The sequence below is a fragment of the Homo sapiens genome, chromosome 14 (assembly GCF_000001405.40).
Source record: "Homo sapiens chromosome 14, GRCh38.p14 Primary Assembly".
In the NCBI taxonomy this organism is placed as follows: Eukaryota; Metazoa; Chordata; class Mammalia; order Primates; family Hominidae; genus Homo; species Homo sapiens.
In genome coordinates, this window is record NC_000014.9 from 90,760,234 (window position 1) to 90,782,188 (window position 21,955).

At 44.0% G+C, this 21,955-nt stretch overlaps 1 protein-coding gene and 1 pseudogene across 3 annotated transcripts in view; one reads left to right on the plus strand and one right to left on the minus strand.

The window, feature by feature from the left end:
- Positions 1–21,955, minus strand: part of TTC7B (tetratricopeptide repeat domain 7B) — a 291,867-nt gene that overhangs the window by 235,670 nt on the left and 34,242 nt on the right. For 2 of the 3 annotated variants that reach the window (NM_001010854.2, NM_001401365.1), the window contains exon 3: positions 20,505–20,673. In NM_001010854.2, the coding sequence (NP_001010854.1) occupies positions 20,505–20,673 (169 nt within the window). The remainder of the gene's footprint in view (positions 1–20,504; positions 20,674–21,955) is intronic. The other variant, NM_001320421.2, reaches the window with a different exon arrangement.
- Positions 6,262–6,795, plus strand: RPS18P2 (ribosomal protein S18 pseudogene 2; annotated as a pseudogene).

Here is a 21,955-nt window from a genome sequence, read left to right on the forward strand (position 1 = left end):
GCCTGGCAGGGGTGAGGGCAGGTGGGCAAGGAGGCAGGCAGCCTGGAGCAGAGGATGGGTGGGACACAGCAGGACATGCAGCCAGCCTGCCAAGACTAGGACATATCCTCCACAGTCTGCAGAGGTGCATGCCATACCTAGACCTGCCAGGGTTAGCAGGAGGACTTGAACTCGAGATTCAAGCAATAAGGGAGAGGATGACTCTTTTTTCGAGATAATTAGCTCCTGATTATCTCAACATGATACATTTAAACCTCACACTGGCTTGTCCTGACACTCAGGCCACTATTTACACTCTTCACCACATTTTAACATCACCTTAACTGAGAATGTAAATCCGGCACAAATGTCCAAATGCTCATGTATTTCAGGCATTGTAAACCCCAGGGGAAAGCTCTGTGTCATCGGCATCCCTCCACCCCTTCACTAGCCCAGAGCCCTGGGGGGCATTGTGCTTATAGGTGGAGCTGTCTTGTTACTTGCTGGGGCCTTGCAGGGCCCAGCCTCTAGCCATGCCCTCCAAATGAGCTTCAGCCACTCCTGGGTTTTAACCAAGTCCTGCACCTATACGCAGACCTATTCCTGAATCCTGACCAACAAGCCAATAGCCTGGAAACCTATATGCTGAGCACTAGCCAAGAATTCCAATGTTTCCCCAGGATAGCACCCTCTTGTGGACAAAGAGATTCCACCATGTTCAACCAATCCAGTATCTTCCCTCTACCCTCCAAGGAAAATGGGCTCCTTCTCCTGAAATCGCCTTTGCAAAAATTGTAACAGTGAGAAAATTATGACAGTGAAAGAAATCTGATCTAACCAACCCCTATCTTGCCATTAACCCCCAAACTATGGTATTCCTGGGCTTAGGTCAAGCTAACTTTAGGAGATATTTAGTTTATAGTTTAAATGATAATAACACTTCCCCAAAACTCAACTGCCAATGAAGGACCACCAGGTTAGGAGGATGAGAGAAGCCTGAATTCTGCTAAGGCATAAGTGATTACCAGCCATTGTTCCAAAGGTCACAAGATTTGCAACTTCCCGAATTACTCCTGCAGATAACATCACTACTGTAGAACCTAAGATTGGCCTTTTGAGGTATCTCTTCAGGTTTTCACATTTCTGACAACCATCACCCCCACCAGATCCACCACAGGGCCATGCCTTGTGGCCCCACCCAGAAGCAGACTCAGCACATGAAGACCATTTTCCACACCCCTATGATTGCATCCCCAACAAATCAGCAGCACCCATTCCCTTGCCTGCCACACTATCCTTGAAAAACTCTAGCCTCCGAATTTTCAGAGATTGATTTGATTAATAACTCCATCACCCATGTGGCACAGCTAGCCTCATGTCAGTTAAACTCTTTATTGCAATGCCCTGGTCTCAGTGAGTTGGTTTTGTCTGTGCAGTGGGCAGGAAGAATGCAATGGGCGATTACACTCCTGCAGTCTTCACTTGGTTTGACAACATCATTACCTGCCCAGTGAGCTAAGCTAAAAATTTCACTGTCATCTGGATTCCTCCCTCAACCACCTTCCCATACCAACTCCCAACACACACAGCCTATCTCTCTGGCCTACTGCTTCTCTTTCAAATGACTCTGGATTCTCACTTGCCTGCCCCTGCCTTGGTTCAGCCCTTTGTACTTGGAATCTAGGCTTTTGCAATACCTCTGATATCTGTCAGGATACAGTTAGGATAATGAAAACATTCTAGTTCTTTCAAATAAAGGGAATTGAATGTATGGAATTGTCTGCATAGGAGATGAAAGAGATAAGAGGCCAAACAGGATGGTTTTGTACCCCAGAATTCTGAAATAGCAGGAAGCCACTAACATCCCTAGGACTGGAAAGAACATGGGGAGGAGGCAGAGTTAAGAGCCCAGAAGCTGGGGCCATAGAGAGCCAAAACCCAGAGGAAGCTCCCTAATGGGCACTAAAACTACAGAGAAAGGTTTCATCTGACAGGAGCTAGGACAACTGAAGAGACACCATTGCTGGCAAAGGTGCTGCCTGAGGCAGAGAGAAATACCCTGGCTTATCTGTCTCTTCCAATTTCCTACCAGTGCCTCTGCTTGACCAAACCCAGGCAGAAACCACTGACTTGGGCACCTGGGAAAAAGCCTGCAGAATTCAGCCCACTGAAATACAGAACAGAGAAAGGGCCCAAATCCAACTAACCCCCTTAACCAGTCTCCTTCGCTAGAATCTTTAATTCTTTCTAATCTATTCTCCACTCTGTGCCAGAAAGATCTTTCTTGCTTAAAAACTTAATTAAGTCATTCCTCCTGCTTAAAACTTGTCAGGGGCTGGCAGTTTCCTGGCAGAAAAAAATAGGACTTATCCACCAGGCTGATTTTGTCAATCAATTGCAAATATAGGAAGTATTGCTTCCCTTGACTATGACATGTATCGGGTTTGCTCTATAATATGAGATGGGCTCCTATTCAAAGTATTGCTGTAGAACAGAATAGAGACTACTCCTCAAAGCCATCACGCCTGAAACTGGGAAATAACTAAAGATAACTACTTTTGGATCAGGGCTGTTTGCCATGACCAAGAGGCTAAGGGCTCCAATGAAAACATACCATACAAAAGAACAGGGAGAGCAAGTAAAGGCTATTAAAATCTATTAAAACAACAGGGTAACTAGAGATTGAATTAGCAATCAAACAATGTCTACAAAGAAAAGCCCAGGGTCAGATGGCTTCCTTGGTGAACTGTACCAAATACTTAAAGAACTACCACCAATTCTTCACAAACTCCTCCAAAAAGCAGAAAAGGAGGGAACACTTCACAACTCATCCTATGACACCAGCGTAACATTGACACTAAAACCAAAGGCATCACAAGAATACCACCAATATCTATTATGAATATAGGTATTAAAATCCCCTACAAAATATTAGCATATGGAACCTAGCAATGCATTAAAAAATCATATACCATGACCAAATGGGATTTAATTCAGGAATGCAAGGTTGGTTTAATATATGAAAATCATTCAACGTAAAATGCAATATTTAAAAAATAAAGCACAAAAATTACACGAACAATGCAATAAAAAAATTAGACAGTGTCTAAACCCTATAATGATAAAAACACTCAACAAACTAGAAATAGAAAAGAGCTTCTTCAAGTTGATAAAGGCTATCTATGAAAACGCCACTGCTAACATCTTAGTGGTGAAAAACTGAAAGCTTTCCCCCTAAAATAAGGATGTCCACTCTGGTCATTTCTAATCAACATTGTACTGGAGATACTATCCAGCACAATTAGGCAATACAAAGCAACAAAGTCATCCAGATTGGAAAGGAAAATGTAAAATTATCTTTATTTGCAAATGCCATGATCTTACATATTTTAAAGCCCTAAAGAATCCACAAAAACAATATAATAGCTAATAAATGAGCTCAGCAGGGTTAAAGGATACAAGATTAATAAACAAAAATGAGCTGTATTTCTATACCTTAGTAATGAGCAATCTGAAATTTAAAAAATAGTTTCACTTATAATAACATAAAAAAGAACTCTTAGAATAAATTTAACAAAAGGAATGTAAGACTTGAATGCCAAAAAAATCTACAAAACATTTTTGAAAGAAATTAAAGAAGATATCCCATGTTCATGGATTGGAAGACCTGATATTGTTAAGAAAGCAATACTTCCCAAATCAATCTACAGATTCAACACAATCCCTACCAAGAATTATTTCTTACACTAATTTACAACCTGACCCTAAAATTTATATGAAATGTAAGCCAAAAAAATCTTGTAAAAGAAGAACAAAGTTAGAAAACACACTCCCCAAACTCAAAACTTACTACAAAGCTACAGTAATAAAGACAGTGTGGTACTGGCATAAGCACAGACATACAGACCAGTGGTACAGACAGAGAGTCCAGAAATAAACACTTACATATATGCTCAACTAATTTTCAACAAGGATGCCAAGACAATTCAATGGAGAAAGAACAGTATTTTCAAAAAATTGGGCTGAAACAACTGAAGATCCACATACAAAAAGAATGAAGTTGGATGCTGACCTCACAAAAATATACAAAAATTAACTCAAAATGGATCAGACACCTAAATTTAAGAGTAAAAACTATAAAACTCATAGAAGAAATCACAAGAGTAAATCTTCATAAACTTGACTAGGCAATGGTTTCTTAGATACAAAACCAAAACAACAAAAATAATAAAAGAAAAAAAAATGAACTGGACTTAATCAAAATGAAAAATGTTTGCATTTCAAAGGACATCACTTAGAAAGTGAAAGACAACCCACAAAATTGTAGAAAATATTTACAAACCATATATCTGTAAAAGAAATTATATTTAGGATATATAAAGAACTACTACAACTCAATAATGGAAAGACAAATAACCCAATTAAAAATGGGCAAAGAATCTGAATAGATATTTCTCCAAAGAAGATATACAAATGGCCAATAAGCACATGAAAAATTGCTTAATACCACTTATCATTAGGGAAATGCAAATAAAAACCACAATGAGATACCATTTCATACACTCTAGGATGGCTATAATCAAAAAGACAGATAACAACAAGTGTTGATGAGGATGTGAAGAAATTAGAACCTTCATGCAGGTGAGCTGCTTTGGAAAACAGCTTGCAGTTCCTCAAAAACTTACACTCAGAGTTACCATGTAATCCAATAATCCCACCCCTAAGTATACATCCAAGATAAATGAAAACCCAAAATGTTTTGGATGGGATTATGTTCACCAAAAAACCTGTACACAAATGTTCATAGCAGCATTATTAATAATAGTCAAATAATAGAAATAACCTGCTGTCCACCAACTGATGAATGGATTAACAAAATATGCAAAATGGTATATCCATACAATGTAATATTCAGTCACAAAAAGAAATGACACATGCAGCAACATATAAGGACCTTTAAAACTTTATGCTAAATGAAAAGAAGCCAGATACAAAAAGTCAAGTGCATGATTTCATTTATACAAAATTTCTAGACTAGGCAAATCTATAGAGACAGGGTATAGATTAGTGGTTGACTAGGGCTATAGAGTTGGGGTGGGGGTTCAGGAAATGGGAAGTGACTGCTAATGGGTAAAGGTTTCTTTTTTGGAGTAATAAAAATTTTCTGAAATTGATTGTGGTGATGGTTGCACAACTCTGAATATACTAAAACCCACTGAATTGTACACTTTAAAGGGTTGAATTGTATGGTATATGAGTTATATATCAATAAATCTGTTATTTAAAAAGCTATAAACAGAATTCCGGGAAGATGGTGGACTATGAAGCACCAGGAATCTATCTTCCCACATAGACAACTATTGTACTGGCACAATCTGTTCAATATAACTATTTTGGAACTCCAGGGTCTCTTGAAGGCTTACAATTTCCAGGGGAAAGCTTGATGGTAAATTGCAGTTAATTTCAGCTTTTAGCATAGTAGAAGCTGTGAACACATTCCTAGAGAAGCAAATATAAAGCTTGCAGGAGCTAGGGTGGGCAAAGAGCACCCTGTCCTCCAAATATTGGGTATCTGTGTTCTGATCACTGACTGCTGCTTCTGATCACAGGGGTGCAGAAAAGAGGCAGTAGCCATTGTTGCTGCACCTCCCTTCATTATTGCAAGCCACCCCACATACACCAACAGAAGTGACATCCAGAGGATTTAAAGGGCCAGTGCCCTTTCCCCCAGCCTCATTTTTCTCTTTCTCCCTTTTGAGGGCCAGACATTCAAGACTAGAGCATTCAAAGGCAACTACATACATGGGGAAAATTAGATGGTTGACCATGCATGCCCATGGAAAGGCACAGACTCAGAGAAGACCTAAGAAGACCTCAAATATATACCCCAGGCTGATCCTTGGCACAAAGACAGCCTACAACGTTTTTTTTTTTTTTTAATAAACAAAAACAGCAAACCCTGAGAATGGGGAGAATCCTATTTCCAGAGTTACCACATTATTAGATTCAAATGTCTATTTTTCAACAACATCAAAAAAAAATCAGAAGGCACACACACAAAAATGGAAAGAGCAGCCTATTCAGAGGAAAAGTATATATCAACTGAAACTGTCCTTGAAAAAGACCTGATGGCAGATCTACCAGACAAAGAAACACCCATTTTAAAGATGCTCAAGAGACTAAAGGAAGATGTGGTGAAAGTCAAGAAAATGATGTATGAACAAAATTGAAATGTCAAAAAGGACATAGAAAACCTAAAAAGAAGCCAATAAGAAATTCTGGACAGGAGGCCTACGTGCCACCTCTTGTACTGCCGCCATGTCTCTAGTGATCCCTGAAAAGTTCCAGCATATTTTGTGAGTACTCAACACCATCATCGATGGGCAGTGGAAAACAGCCTTTACCATCCCTGCCATTAAGGGTGTGGGCCAAAGATATGTTCATGTGGTGTTGAGGAAAGCAGACATTGACTGCACCAAGAGGGCGGGAGAACTCACTGAGGATGAGGTGGAACGTGTGATCACCATTATGCAGAATCCATGCCAGTACAAGATCCCAGACTGGTTCTTGAACACACAGAAGGATGTAAAGGATGGAAAATATAGCCAGGTCCTAGCCAATGGTCTGGACAACAAGCTCCATGAAGACCTGGAGCGACTGAAGAAGATTCGGGCCCATAGAGGGCTGTGCCACTCCTGGGGCCTTCATGTCCAAAGTCAGCACACCAAGACCACTGGCCGCCATGGCCGCACTGTGGGTGTGTCCAAGAAGAAATAAGTCTGTAGGCCTTGTCTGTTAATAAATAGTTTATATACCAAAAAAAAAAAAAAAAAGAAAGAAAGGAAGAAAAGAAATTCTGGGCTGGGTGCAGTAGCTCACACCTGTAACTGCAGCACTTTGGGAGGCTGAGGCAGGAGCATCGCTTGAGCCCAGGAGCTCAAGGTTACAGTGAGCTGTGATAGTGCCACAGCGTTCAATCCTGGGTGACAGAGCAAGACCGTGTCTCAATAAAAAATAGAAGTGAAATTCTAGAGCTGAAAAAGTACAATAAGTGAAATGAAAAATTCACTAGAGGGCTTCAAAGGCAAACTTGAGCAGGCAGTAACCTTGAAGACAGGACAATAGAAATTATTGAGAATAAGTGCTATGGTTTGAATGTGTCCCATTAAAAGGATGTACTCAAGACTTAATCCCCATTGCAACAGTGTTGGGAGGTAGGGCCTAATGAGAGGTGACCATACCATGAAGACAGAGTGAGTGATTAATGCCATTATCTTGGGAGTAGATTCATTATAAGAGAGGAAGTCCAGCCCCCTTTTCCTTCTTTCTCTCACCCTCTCACCTTCCACCATGGGAAGATAAGGCAAGAAGACACTTGCCAGATGCTAGAACCTTCATATTGGCCTTCCTAGCCTCCAGGAATGTGAGAAATAAATTCTTTTCTTTATAAGCTACCCAGTTTCTTGTGTTATATGACAGCAGCACAAAAATAACTAAGACACTGAAGAACAAACAGAAAAAAAGATTGAAGAAAAGTGAACAGAGCCTAAGAAACATGTGGAACACCATCAAGAGAACTAACATATGTATTGTGGGAATTATAGAAGGAAAAGAGGGAGAGAAAGGAGCAGAGAGGATATTTGAAGAAATAGTGACTGAAAACTTTTGAAATTTGGTGAAAGATATTAAGTGAAAAGTACAATTATCATTTATTGTACTTTTTCAGCTCCAGAATATAAACATCCAAGAAGCTTAACAAACTCCAAATAAAAGGAACTGAGAAAGACCCATACCAAGGCACATTATAGTAAAACTTTTGAAGGACAAAGGGAGAATCTTAAAAGCAACAAGAAGCAACTTGTCACATACAAGGGATCCTCAATAAAATTATCAGCAGATTTCTCATCAGAAACATAAGAGGCCAGATTGCAATAGGCTGATATATTCAAAGTGCTGAAAGAAACAGACTCTTAACCAATGTATTAGTCCATTTTCACACTGCTATAAAGAACTTCCTTGAGCCTGTGTAATTTATAAAGGAAAGAGGATTAATTGACTCACAGTTCCACATAGCTGGGGAGACCTCAGGAGACTTACAATCATGGTGGAAGGGGATGCAGCCACCTTCTTTACAAGGCAGTGGGGGAGAGAGAGAGAGAGAGTGAAGGAGAAACTTCCAAACACTTACAAAACCATCAGATCACATGATAACTCACTCACTTTCAGGAGAACAGCATGGGGAAAACCGTACCCATGAACAAATCACCTCCCTCCCTTGATACATGGGGAATACAGATCCCTCCCTCAACACATGGGTATTACAATTTAAAATGAGATCTGAATGGGGACACAGAGCAAACCATATCAACCAAGAATCCCATATCTGCCAAAGCTATCCTTCAAAAGTGAGAGATAAATTAAGAAATTCCCAAGTAAACACAAAAGCTGAGGAGTTTTTTTACCACTAGAACTGCCCTGCAAGAAATGCTCACAGAAGCCACACAAGGTGAAATGAAAGGACACTAAGCAATAACTCTAAGCTATATAAAGAACTAAGGATCTCAATAAAAGTGAATACATTAGCAATTATAAAACTAGTATTATTGTAACAATAGTTTGTAACTCCACTTTTTATTATCTGCATGACTTAAGAGACTAATATATTTTTAAAATTATTACTCAAAAACTAGTATTATTATAACTTTGGCTTGTAATTCCATGCTTTGTTTCCTATATAATTTAAGAGACAATGCACTTAAAAGAATTATTAGCTTATGTTTTGGGGTATACAATGGGTAAAGATATAATTTTGTGACATCGGTAACAGAAAGGGGTGGGGATAGAGCTTTACAGGAATGGAGTCTTTGTATGTTAGTCAAGCTGGTATACATTTAAGTTAGAGTGTTAAACTTTAAGATATCAAATGGAATCTTCATGGTAACCACAAAGAAAATAGCTAGCAAATATACACAAAAGGAAATGAGAAATTTAAATATTTCGCTACAAAAAAAATCAACTAACAAAAGAAGACAATAATGCAGAAAGCAAGGGATAAAAAAGCTATAAGGCATGTAGAAAATATAGCAAATTACAGAAGTAAGTCCCTTATCAGTACCTACTTTAAATGGAAATGGATTAAACTCTCCAATCAAAAGATGGAGATTGACAGAATGGATTTAAAAAACATGATCCAACTATATGCCGTCTACAAGAAACTCTAGATCCACAGACATAAATACGTTGAAAGTGAAAGAATGGAAAAAGATATTCCGACTGGACAAAGTGGCTCACATTTCAGATCCTAGCACTCAGGGAGGCTGAGGTGGGAGGATTGCTTAAGCCCAGGAATTCAAGACCAGCCTGAGCAACACAGTAAGACTTCATCTCTACAAAATAAAATTTAAAAATTAGCCAGACATGGTGGCATGAGCCTTTAGTCCCAGCTACTCGGGAGGCTGAGGCAAGAGGATCACTTGAACTCAGGAGGTTGAGGCTGCAGTGAGCTGTAATCACACCACTGTGCTGCAGCCTGGATGACACAGCGAGACTCTGTCTCAAAACAAACAAACAAAAAGATATTCATGCAAATAGTAACCAAGAGAGCAGGGATGGCTATACTGATATCCAACAAAATAGACTTTAAATTAAAAAAGGCGTTGAGTGTGGTGGCATGCTTCTGTAATCTCAGCTATCCAGGGGGCTGAGGCAGGAGAGTCATTTGATACGAGGAGTTTGAGACCATCCTGGGCAACATAGTGAGACCCCATCTCTACAAAAAATAAAAAAATTAGTAGGGGTATGATGGTACACATCTGTAGTTCCAGCTACTCGGGAGGCTGAAGCAGGAGATCTCTTGAGCCCAGGAGTTCAAAGTTACAGTGAGCTATGATAGCACCACTGCAATCCAGCCTGGGCGACAGAATGAGACTCCATCTCTGAAAATAAGTAAACAAATAAGAGACAAAGAAGGATGTTATATATTAATAAAGAGTCAATACAGTAAGAAGATACAACAGTTATAAACATTTACACATGTAATTACAGACCATCAAAATACATGAAGCAAAAAATTCACACATTGAATTGAAGGGAGAAACAGAGAATTCTATAATAGTAGTTGGAAACTTCAATAACCCTCTCTTAAGAATGAATAGAACAACCAGGCCAGGCGCGGTGGCTCACGCCTGTAATCCCATCACTTTAGGAGGCTGAGGCGGGCAGATCACCTGAGGTCGGGAGTTCAAGACCAGCCTGACCAACATGGAGAAACCCCGTCCCTACTAAAAATACAAAATTAGCTGGGCGTGGTGGCGCATGCCTGTAATCCCAACTTGGGAGGCTGAGGCAGGAGAATCGCTTGAACCCAGGAGGCAGAGGTTGCGGTGAGCCGAGATCACGCCATTGCACTCCAGCCTGGGCAACAAGAGTGAAACTCCATCTCAAAAAAAAAAAAAAAGAACAACCAGACAGAAGTAAGGACATAGAGGACTTAAAACACAATAAACCAACTAGACCTAAGAGACATAAACAGTCACTCTACCCAATTTTCTTCTCAAGTATGCATGGGACATTTTCCAGGACAGACCATGTGTTAGGTCACAAATTGAGTCAAAACGTGGTACATGCACACAATAGAGTATTATTTTGCATGCAGACGAAAGAAAATTCTGACACATGTTACAACATGGATGAACCTTGAGGACATTATGTTAAGTGAAACGTAAGCCAATCACAAAAAGGCAAATACCACATGACTCCACTTATATGAGCTACCTAGAGTAGGCAAAATCAGACAGACAGAAAGTAGAATGGTGTCTTCCAGTGGCTGGGGGTGGGAGGGGAATGGGGAGTTATTGTTTCATGAGTTTTTAAAAGGGAAAGAGTTCTGGAGACGGATGGTGGTGACAGTTGCACAGCAATGTGAAGAATACATTTAATCTCACTGAACTGTGCACTTAAAAATAATGAAGATGGGAAATTTTGTTATACGTGTTTTACCAAAATAAAATAAACTGGGGAGAAAAGCTATAGAGTATATTTATAATATAAAAACTGAAATGACCTAGATGTTTCATGGGCAGCTATTACAAAAATATTCATAGGCCCGGCACCGTGGCTCACGTCTGTAATCCCAGCACTTTGAGAGGTCAAGGCGGGAGGCTCGCTTAAGCCCAGGAGTTCAAGACCAGCCTGGGCAACGTCCAAACCCCATCTCTACAAAAAATACAAAAATTAACCAGGTGTGGTGGCACATGCCTGTAGCCTCAGCTACTTGTGGGGGCTGAGGCAGGAGGATCTCTTGAGCCTGGTGCAGGGGATGGAGGTTGCAGTGAGCTGAGATTGCGCCACTGCACTCCAACCTGGGCGACAAAGCAAGACCCCGTCTCAAAAAAAGAAAAAAATCCATAAGGCACACCACCGTGCAGCCTTTACAAACTAAGTTTTCAAAAATATTTAATGACGTGGAAAAATAATTGTACACACATACACACACACAGAATGAAAAAAGAATATAAAATAGTATATAAAGCATAATCTCAATTGTATATAAAAATAGTAAATACATATAATGCGTGTGTGTGCACGTGTGTGTGTGTAACAGTGGTTAACCAGCTCAAGTAACAGTATGGTACCTGACTTTATTTATAAATATTTAAAAATAAATATTAAGTATATACATATATATGTATATATTTCTTTATTTTATATATAAATATATATTTATATGTATAAATTTTATATAAATATATAATTATATATATAATTTATGTATATATTTATAATATATATATTATAAATAAAGAAATATATATATATTTCTTTATTTTCCAAACAGCCTACACTCAATACACAGCTAAAGAATAAATGCTCATTTTTAAATCGAAGGGATTGCATTCAGTGTTGGCTGGAATGGGAGGAGGCTGGTTCCTCACACTACAGGAAGGAAAGCATACAGGTACCACCGTTCTGCAGGGCAATCTGGAAATACCTCCCTTCAACCCAGAAACTCAATTTCAGGAAACCTCTCCTAGGGAAATCATTAAGAACAGGCACAGAGACCAGGCTGACAGGGTACTCATCACAGCCTCGTGTATAACAGTGAAAAGCTGAAAACAACCTACATGTCCAAAAATAGAGGCTTTAGTTAAATAGATTATACTTCATCCATACTATGAAATGTTATACAGCTGCTTAAATGTTGCAGAAAGTTATATACTGTCATGGAAAGTGTTTACGATCTATAGTGAAGTAGAAAAAGCAGGTCACAAAGCAGTATATGTGGTATAATCCCACTTTTATATAAAAAAATTCACACATACAGGAGGTGTAGAGAAGATCTGGAAGGAAATGCACTGTAGTGTTAACAGCAACTGCCTTGAGTAGATGGGTAATGGATATCTTTATGTTCTTTTGATTAGTCATCATTTCTGAATTTTATATAAAACACATGTATTTTGTCTATATTAAGAACAATAAAGCCGGGTGCAGTGGCTCATGCCTGTAATCCCAGCACTTTGGGAGGCCAAGGCAGGAGGATCTCTTGAGTTCAGGAGTTCGGGACCAGCCTGGGCAACATGGCAAAACCTCATCTCTAGAAAAAATACCAAAAATTAGCTAGGCAGGATGGTGCATGCCTGTAGTCCCAGCTGAGGTGGGAAGATCGCTTGAGCCTGGGAGACAGAGGTTGCAGTGAGCCGAGATCACACCAGCCTGGCAACGGAGCGTGACCCTGTTTCAAAAAAGTAAATAAATAATAAATTTTTTAAAAGAACAATAAAATAAAATTGTGGGGGATGAAACAAGAGATCAATACTAGGGACAGCTAGAAGTATTGCTGGCTAGCTCAGCTAAGGAGCGTGGCAGGCAGGGCCTTCAGGGACAGGAGGGGCAAGGCCATCACAGCCACCTGCTGCTCCCAGCCTCAGCTGTCCATGAGATCTGACTATTCAAATCCCCTTCCACTGACCTTGGATTTATAAATTCAAAGCATCTTCCCATTTTGTCTTATTTAGTCTTCTCAGTACTCTTGTGAGAGTATTATTAGCTCTGTTTTGCAGATAAGAAAAGTCAGACTTAAATCACTCACAAATCACAGAACACAATCAAGGCTAAGCAGGTTATCTCACACCAGAATCGCATCAACCATATCCTCACTCACAATGAGTGATTATGCTCCCACTGACAGGCAGCTCAGTAAAGTGGAAAGAGTATGGATGCTGGAGTCCACAGGCCTTGCTTTGAATCCCATCTCAACTCTGAAAAGCAGCCTCTTAACCCCTCCGCAGGGAACGATAATACTAGGGTCCGGGATTGTTCTCAGGATAAGCACAATCACGCAGGTAAATCACCACGCACCATGCCAGACTCTCCATCAGCGCTCAATAAATGCTCAGGCACAGGGAACCCCTGCCTCTCCATGCAGCTGAGCTCTCTGGCAGCTGTGAGGTTAGAAATTGGCTTCTGTAAATGGGACTAACACTGAACTTCATGCAGTTTCCAGTGCCCGGCTCTGGTCCTGTCCCTGAGGCCAAAACAGACCGAGTCTTTCTTCCTCCAAGAGCCCTCCACACAGGTGAGGCCTGCTCCTCCACCCCTGGAGGCTGCTCTTCCCCCAAAAAGCCCCATTCCTTCAGTGTTGATCGGCCTCACACGGTCTGGTCCCAAGGTCACCTCTAGTCCACAGTGACCCTCTCACAGAGCAGTCACCTGGCTGCTCCCTGATTTTCCCTTCTCTTCTTCCCTGCAGGGGCCACCTCAAAGAAAAAAATAAAGAGCCCTGGACCTATATGATGAAAGGCTTCTATTCAGAGGAGCCACTGCTGTGGACATCTGTCATGGACACTGGACACTGCCCTACCTCTGATCCCCCTAATGGGACCAGCCCCTCTTCACCATGGTCACTGGATCAAGGATGAGAATGTGATCCAGTTGGGGCCAATAAGACACAACAAGAACCCGACCGAGATGTCTGAGGATCACACCCAGGACAATGACAGTCTGTAGCCGCTCCGCTCACCTGGGGCCTGAGATGGAAAGCAACAAGAGGGGAGGGGAAACAGAGAGGAAGAATCCATGTCTTTGAGCCCTGAAGCCAGCTGCCACTGAAGTCAGTTTAAACTGGGTTTTCTTTCACCTACAGCTGAAAAGGCCCTAATGCACAGATTTTGGCAGAAACTAGAAAATGGATCTGCAGCATGGCTTGGGCGGTCAGCGCTGCATACACCGTTTACCCCTCTGCATATGCCTAAGGCAGGAGCTTAGGCCCTGCCCTCAGAAAGCCCTGTGGGATGGAGTTGTCGAGGCTGACTTGGATTTGCACTGCCCCCTCCACCCCCTCTGTGAACAGAGCACACCTGCTCACTCCATCTGCCTGCCAAGCATCTGGCTGGAGCTGGGCAGAAGGGATGATGTGGGTAGCTTCTCCAGCTGCCCCTGACTTCTAGGTACTCCCCATCCTCCAACATCAGCAACAACTTTCCCTTCCCTAAGCCGCACTCCAGGCCTCTGATCTTCATGTGATCTTCCCCTAAAGAGTCCCCCGCTAGGCTGGGCGCGGTGGCTCACGCCTGTAATCCCAGCACTTTGGGAGGCCGAGGCGGGTGGATCATCTGAGGTCAAGAGTTTGAGACCAGCCTAGCCAACATGGTGAAACCCTGTCTCTACTAAGAATATAAAAACAATTAGCCAGGCGTGGTTGCACGCACCTGTAATCCCAGCTGCTTGGGAGGCTGAGGCAGGAGAATCACTTGAACGCGGGAGGCAGAAGTTACAGTGAGCCGAGATTGCGCCACTGCACTCCAGCCTGGGCAACAAGAGTGAAATTCTGTCTCAAAAAAAAAAAAAAAATTCTCCCCGTAAATGTAGGGATCCCAGGTCCCACTTCCTGATGGTCAAACCCTCTGCCTGACAAAGCAGATCCACTAAGGCACCAATGTATTCATGGAAAAAAGCCGGCCTCTCCCCTCTCCCCATAACCAGATGTTGTTACCTGGGGCATCTGAAGAGGCCAATCATTTGTGGTCAAACCCAAGGGATACATAAGAATAAAAATAACACATTTGTTGATCTGCCGGGCATTGTGCTAAGTGCTTTACATGTATTCACCCATTCCCTGCACAACCCTGTAAGGTAGATATTATTATTATCTCCATTTACAGATGAGAAAACAGACCCAGTGGGGTGAAAATAATTTGCCCAAGACCCTTTAGCTAGTAAGTGACAAAGCCAGAGGTCAAACCTGGACAGCCTGACCCCAAGCTTCATGCCCTTAACCACTGCATGGAAGAGCAATTTCCACCCCAGCAGCAGGGAGGAATGGAGAAGGTAAAGGAGCTCTGTAAACCGCCCGACATGGTGCTTTACACCTGGGCACCTCCTCCTGGGCACAGGAGGAGCCCAGCTCCTCCACCTGGGCACAGAGGTTACTCAGCTTGACGGAAAAATTTCCTGCCAAGAAACATCCCCACATCTTGGTCCTGGATTGTGTGACATAGGGCAAGTCCCTTCTCCTCTCTGGCACAGTCTCCCCTACTGGGAAATAAAATGTCTGCATGGGAGATGACTGTGCTGGTGGGAGATGACCGTGCTGGCCCCATTTGCTCTTCAGAGCCAGTCCTCTGCTTTGGTGCCATGCAATCTGGAAAAGAAGTTAATTCCCCTGCTGTTTCCAGGCCCCATTTTTAAAATTTCCGGTTTAAAAATTTTAAATTTTAAAATTTCCGGTTTAAAAATTTTATTTTACTAAAAAGGGAACTGTTCATTTTGTCTCTTTTATTAATTATGTTTCTGTTTATAAAGCAGAGATAGGTGCTTACTTTCCTCTGTGTATGCAGAAAAGAAGGCCACAGAAAATGCTGAGGAAGGCAAGTAGCCCTGTTATAGTAGGCAGTTAGTCAGGCATGAGCAGGGCAGGAGAGGGCCCCCCGTGACACACACACACACACACACACACACACACACACACGCCAGGAATGTCAGGTGACCATCAGGTGATGGTCAGGCAGTTGTTAACTGTTTCTCTAAAATAATAATTGGTAGCAGCCTGCATCAGGAAAAAGCAGCCTCCCAGCAGATAGAAGAAACTCGAAATTGGTGATCAGCAGCTTCCCAACTAGTTCTCAGGAGTTGGGCGAGGGGCTCAAGCATGCGCACTAAGGGGCAAAATGGCGGAGTGTAACTGGTAGATGACCTTCTTCTAGGAATGCTAGATTGGCAAGGGAAGGACGCCTTAAGTGAGCATGCGTACAACTCCAGTCATTTCTTACATAATTCTAATGTACTGTGCTACGACAACATCAAATATCATTGACTCTTCCCAGGGGGCTTCAGAGAAGACAGCAATATGAGCTGGAAGGACAGAACTTACAGGAGGAAACCCGGCAAAGGTGAGGCATTAAGGTAGAGGAACCAAGGGCAGGAGTACAAATCTAGGGTATTCTCGAGTGACCTGAATGTTTTCTCCCTGAAGAAACCTTACCCAGCCCAAGTGAGTTCCAGTCCATGTGCCAGTAGAAGAGAGCAATTAGGAACATGGGTGTCAGACTGAGACCCCATTCTGCCACTCAGAGGAGAGAACAAGGGCCCTAGAGCCAGTCTCTGAGGTCAAGTCCTGGCTCAACCACTTCCTAGCTGTAGGACCCTGGGCAAGTTTACCTAACCTCCCTGTGCCCCAGGTTTCTTTTCTGTAAAATGGAAAGAATAATGGTGTTTACCTCATAGGTGGTGGCAAAGACTGAATGAAGGCTGGGCATGGTGGCTCATGCCTTTAATCCCAATACTTTGGGAGGCCGAGGTGGGTGGATCACCTGAGATCAGGAGTTCGAGACCAGCCTGGCCAACATGGTGAAACCCTGTCTCTACTAAAAAAAAATACAAAAATTAGCCAGGTGTGATAGTGCACACCTGTAATCCCAACTACTTGTGAGGCTGAGGCAGAAGAATCACTTGAACCTGGGAAGCGGAGGTTGCAGTGGGCCGAGATTGTGCCATTGCACTCCAGCCTGGGCAATAGAGCGAGACTCCGTTTTTTTATTTTTATTTTTTTTTAAAAGAGTGAATGAGATACTGGGATAAAGGGCATCACACCTGGCACGCAGGAATCTCTCAGTACACCGTGGCCACTGCTACGCTTCTGCATAACCTCACCTCCTCTCATTTCTCTCTTCTGTAAATTTGGGGTTTGGAGAGTTAAAGAGACAGGAAATCCCCTAACATAGTGCTGGCCCATAGGAGGTTCTGGGAGCTGAACCATGCAGGCTTCCGATTCCCAATCAGCAAAGGCTAACGTTGGCTGGCCAGGGGAAGGGACTCTATCTGAAAACCCTGGCCAACTCAGACCTCAGGTCACCAGGGAAAAGTTGAGGTGACAAAGTGTGCAGGTCAATTGCACTGCCTAGAGCAGTGTGCACATAGCCTAGGGGAGGGACCAACATTCAGAGAACCCCCTGACAGCAGCCTCCCCTTAAAAATCCTGAGGGACCTTGGTGAAGAAAGAAGGGCCAAGAATATTCCTACACAGAGCTAGGACTGAGGGCCTCTTGAACTCCTCAGAGAGCAGGCCTGTCTCTGGGCATCTCCATGAATTGGGCCCGCAATTGCCCTGTTAGTACAAGTCACTTCTAGTCCCTCAGGGCCCACCCAACACTCAGCTTCAGCTGACATTTACGTTGCGCTCACTATGTGTCGGCACTGTAGAAGCATTTTATGTGTGCTATCTCATGCAGTCCTCGTGACAAGCCAATGAGAGCTTGATGGGCGGGGAAACAGGGGCAGAGAGAGGCTAAGGAACTTGCACAAGGCCCCAGAGCCAGCATGTGACACACTGAGTAGGACCCAGGCAGATGGTCAGGGCCGATGCTCATAACCGTCCCTCTACACTGTCTCTCACCTGGCCCACCAGGCTCTCCAGGGCCTGGAGCCCCCAGGCTGCTGGCCACTTCCTCTAGGCAGAAGTGACCCTTCCCTCTCCCAGTATACATGTGACTCTACCTGCACTCACAGAAGTCAGAAACTAGCCAGAGCCAGGTCTCCCGTGAGCCAGCAGGTGTCCCAAGAGCCAATGCCACAACCTCATGGGCGGGGTGACCACATATCACCCAGGGCCAGGCTCGGGGCCCAAGTTGCCTGTCCTCCTTGCCCACCTTTCATGGCAGCCAAAAGACTGAGCTGGCAGTGACACCTGTAGACAGCCTGCCTCCATTAAACTATCTCAGAACCAATCCTAGGACGTGGGCTCTGGGTACTGGGCAGGCCCCAAAGCCACCTCCCACCCCCAAATAGGAAGCCAACTCCTGGTACAACTCACCAGCCCCAGGGCAGTTGGGCAGGTGGAAATTGCCAGATGATGCTTTGCTGTGCTTCCAGAATGCTGTTGCTGGCCACACACACACACACACAGCTGCTGAGGCACGTGAGGTAGCTGGGTGAACACCAGGGAGGAAAGAGCGTGGCTGTGTGGCACAGACCCCAGCACTCCCCGTAGCTCAGACAGATGCAAACAAAGCCGAATGCTGTCAGGACCCCAGAGGCAGCCTCAAAGGGGCGTGCCCATTAAACTGCCAGAGTGCCCTGTCGAGAGCAAGGGCATTTTTTCCTAGCCCATGGGGACGTTTAGAAGATTAATTAGAGGAGCCTGGCAGTACTCAAGGGTCCCCAGGGAACTGGGTGAATATATCACCCCCTTCACAAAGCTCTTAACAAGTGTGCCCCGGGCTGGGTCTTTGTTCAACACTGCAGAAGACAACTAAGTCAGACAGGCTGGACCACCTGTAGCCCCCTCATCTCAGCCAGAAAGTGCTGGCAGCACTCAATGGCCAGCTCATGACTGTGCTGGAGGGACGCGCCACCCAGGGCCCTGGTCTCTGCCAGCCACAGTCAGTCACGGAACGTGGTTTGAACAGCAGATGGCCAGAAGGACAGGAGCCACTCCAGATAGTCCACTTCTTGCCATGGCCTTAAGAAGTCCCATTCAAAGTGTCCCTCTTCCTCTAGGAAGCCTTCCTGGCCCTGCTGGCCTGAAGTGACCTCTCCGTATTACCCATCCCTAGCTTTTACTATTTGCTGCCATGTTTGGGGTTGAGATTTTATTTTTTATTTTTTTAATTTTTTTGAGATGGAGTCTCGCTCTTGTCGCACAGGCTGGAGTGCAATGGCGCGATCTCAGCTCACTGCAACCTCTGCCTCCCGGGTTTCCAGCAATTCTCCTGCCTCAGCTTCCTGAGTAGCTGGGATTACAGGCACCTGCCACCACACCCGGCTAATTTTTGTACTTTTAGTAGAGACAGGGTTTCACCATGTTGGCCAGGCTGGTCTCGAACTCCTGACCTCAGGTGATCTGCCCGCCTTGGCCTCCAAAGTGCTGGGATTACAGGCGTGAGCTACCGCACCTGGTCGAGATTTTAAAATATCATTTATGCAGCATTTAGAATGTGCCAGGTACCACAATCAATGCTTTACATACATTATTTGACTTAATCCTCCTAAGAGCCCCATGAAGTGGGTGTGATTATGCCCATTACAGATTGAGGAAGCAGCAGCTTGGAACGGTCCGATCATCTGTGTGTCCTGTGCTTCCAGACTTTTTCTTCCCATGAGATTGCATTATCTCACACTAGAGTGCAAACTGCTTCATGGCAGTGAGATATTTACACGTTCTTCTTGTCCCTGAATAGGTACACAGTTAACTAAGAGAGGACTGATTGCTAGTGATTGCTGTGTGTCAACTGATTAGCCTTAATGAACCCAGAGGTGGCATTAATGAATAAAAACATCATCAGCCATGTGGCCAACTGACCATATGATATGAATCCCTACATGCTGTGCAGGATTTTAATTACCAAGAAAGGCCCCTGCTGAAGTTGCATACTACTTATCAAGAAACTTTGCTGAAGCTGGGCGCGGTGGCTCATGCCTGTAATCCCAGCACTTTGGGAGGCTGAGGTGGGCGGATCACCTGATGTCAGGAGTTCGAGACCAGCCTGACCAACATGGAGAAACCCCCTCTCTACTAAAAATACAAAATTAGCTGGGTGTGGTGGCGCATGCCTGTAATCCCAGCTACTCGGGAGGTTGAGGCAGGAGAATCACTTAAACCTGGGAGGCGGAGGTTGCGGTAAGCCAAGATCACACCATTGCACTCCAGCCTGGGCAACAAGAGCAAAACTCCATCTCAAAAAAAAAGAAAGAGAGAAAGAAACAGAGAAAGAAAGAAAGAAAGAAAGAGAGAGAGAGAGAAGGAAAGAAAAGAAAGAAAGAAAGAAAAAGAAAGAAAGAAAGAAAGGAAAGAAACTTTGCTGAAATGTTTTTCCTTCATCCCCTTCAGTGACAGCTGATGGCCACTGGCTTGGAGGGACAAATCCCTGCTGGGCTTAGCATGACCCAGCATGTGCTGCAGGGCGGCCCCAGCAGCCTTGCTGGGAACTGCCAGGTTCATCACCAGCCAAGGGCCAAGGGTCAAATAGGCAGCTCCGAAGAGGCGCTGCTGGCTCCAGGTCACGGGACACTGTGTTAGAAGGCACGGGCCTCACCTTTGGTAGCGTAGGCTTCTGCGATCACCCGCAGCCTGTAGGGCGGGACAGCTGTCAGTGGCAGATCGTCCAGGCCCACCCGGGCGTAAATGTTCAGAGCTTCTTTATAATCACCTTCCACATAATTCAACTTGGCCATGATCAGATTGGATTCTTGTAGGAATTCTGACTAGAAGCAAAAGGAGAGAAAGAAAAGCATTTTCCTACAATATCAGGCATGATGCTCCCTCAGAGTCTGGCCAGCTGCTGCCGTAAAACCCCACAGCTCCCCGCACAAGAGCTTGGACGTGAATGTTCTGAGCAGTGTTATCCACAATAGCCAAACAGTGGAAACAACCCAAATGTCCACCAAAATGTGGGCTAGCCATAAAATGGAATATTGCTCAGTTGTAGTAAAGAATGAAGTACTGTTATGCTACAACATAGACGAACCCTAAAAACATGATGCCAAGTGAAAAATCCAGTCACAAAAGGCCACATATTGTATGCTTCCACGTGTATGAAATGTCCAGGATAGTCAAGTCTAGAGTTAGAAAACAGATTAGTCTTGGCTAGGAATGGGAGGTGGCTGCTGGTGATAATGGGGTTTCTTTGGGAGGTGATGAAAATGTTCTAGAATTCATTGTGGTGATGGTTGCACAACTTCATGAATATACTAAAAATCACTGAAGTGGACACTCTGAATGGGTGAGTTGTATGGTATGTGAATCACACTTCAATAAAGCTGTTGCAAAAACCAAACCAAAACAAAACCCTGCGGCTCCCTTCATCAGGCCTGTGGCTGGGCTGGGCCGGCTGGGAAGGAAGGAATGCTTCATAAGTTAAACATACAAGCACCTGTCTCAGAAAAGGAAGCGGCCAGACATCCTGGTGGGTCTGGCCATGGCACTGGAGATGCACCACAACCCTGTAACCCAAATAACCAAGGAGAGCCTTCCCAAATGGATGTGAAGATCAGGACTTGCTTGCTTTCCAGGGCGAAGTTTCTCACTGAGCCATTGAAGTTTCTAAACTGAGGTGACCTGGTACCCTCCCTAGAGGCTAAGGGCTGGAAGTTCTCTGTGGGCCCCCCTTCCTCCCAGTCAGCAAGGCTGGCCTGGCCAGTCCCCCTCTCCCCAAAGCCTCATCATTGCCTTCCTCCCTGACCCGTCCTCCGGCACCTAGGGAAAGAACAGGCCACCCTGCCACCTATATAAGGAAACAGATTTATCTTCTGTGGCCAGACCTTCTCCTCAGAGCCCAAGCGGTTCAAAGCTGAGGTTTTTGCTTACAGAAGCACACCATGAAACCGCACTATTTATACTGTAACCTAGAGCTTTGATGAGTGGACAACACGGCCAGGTAGCCAGGTACAGCGTGTTACAGCAGCTATCTCAGCCAGCGTGGTCGGCTTCCAGGCATTTCTTGGAAGAGGGAGGGACATCAGGCAGCATTGGAAAGGATGGTGCAGT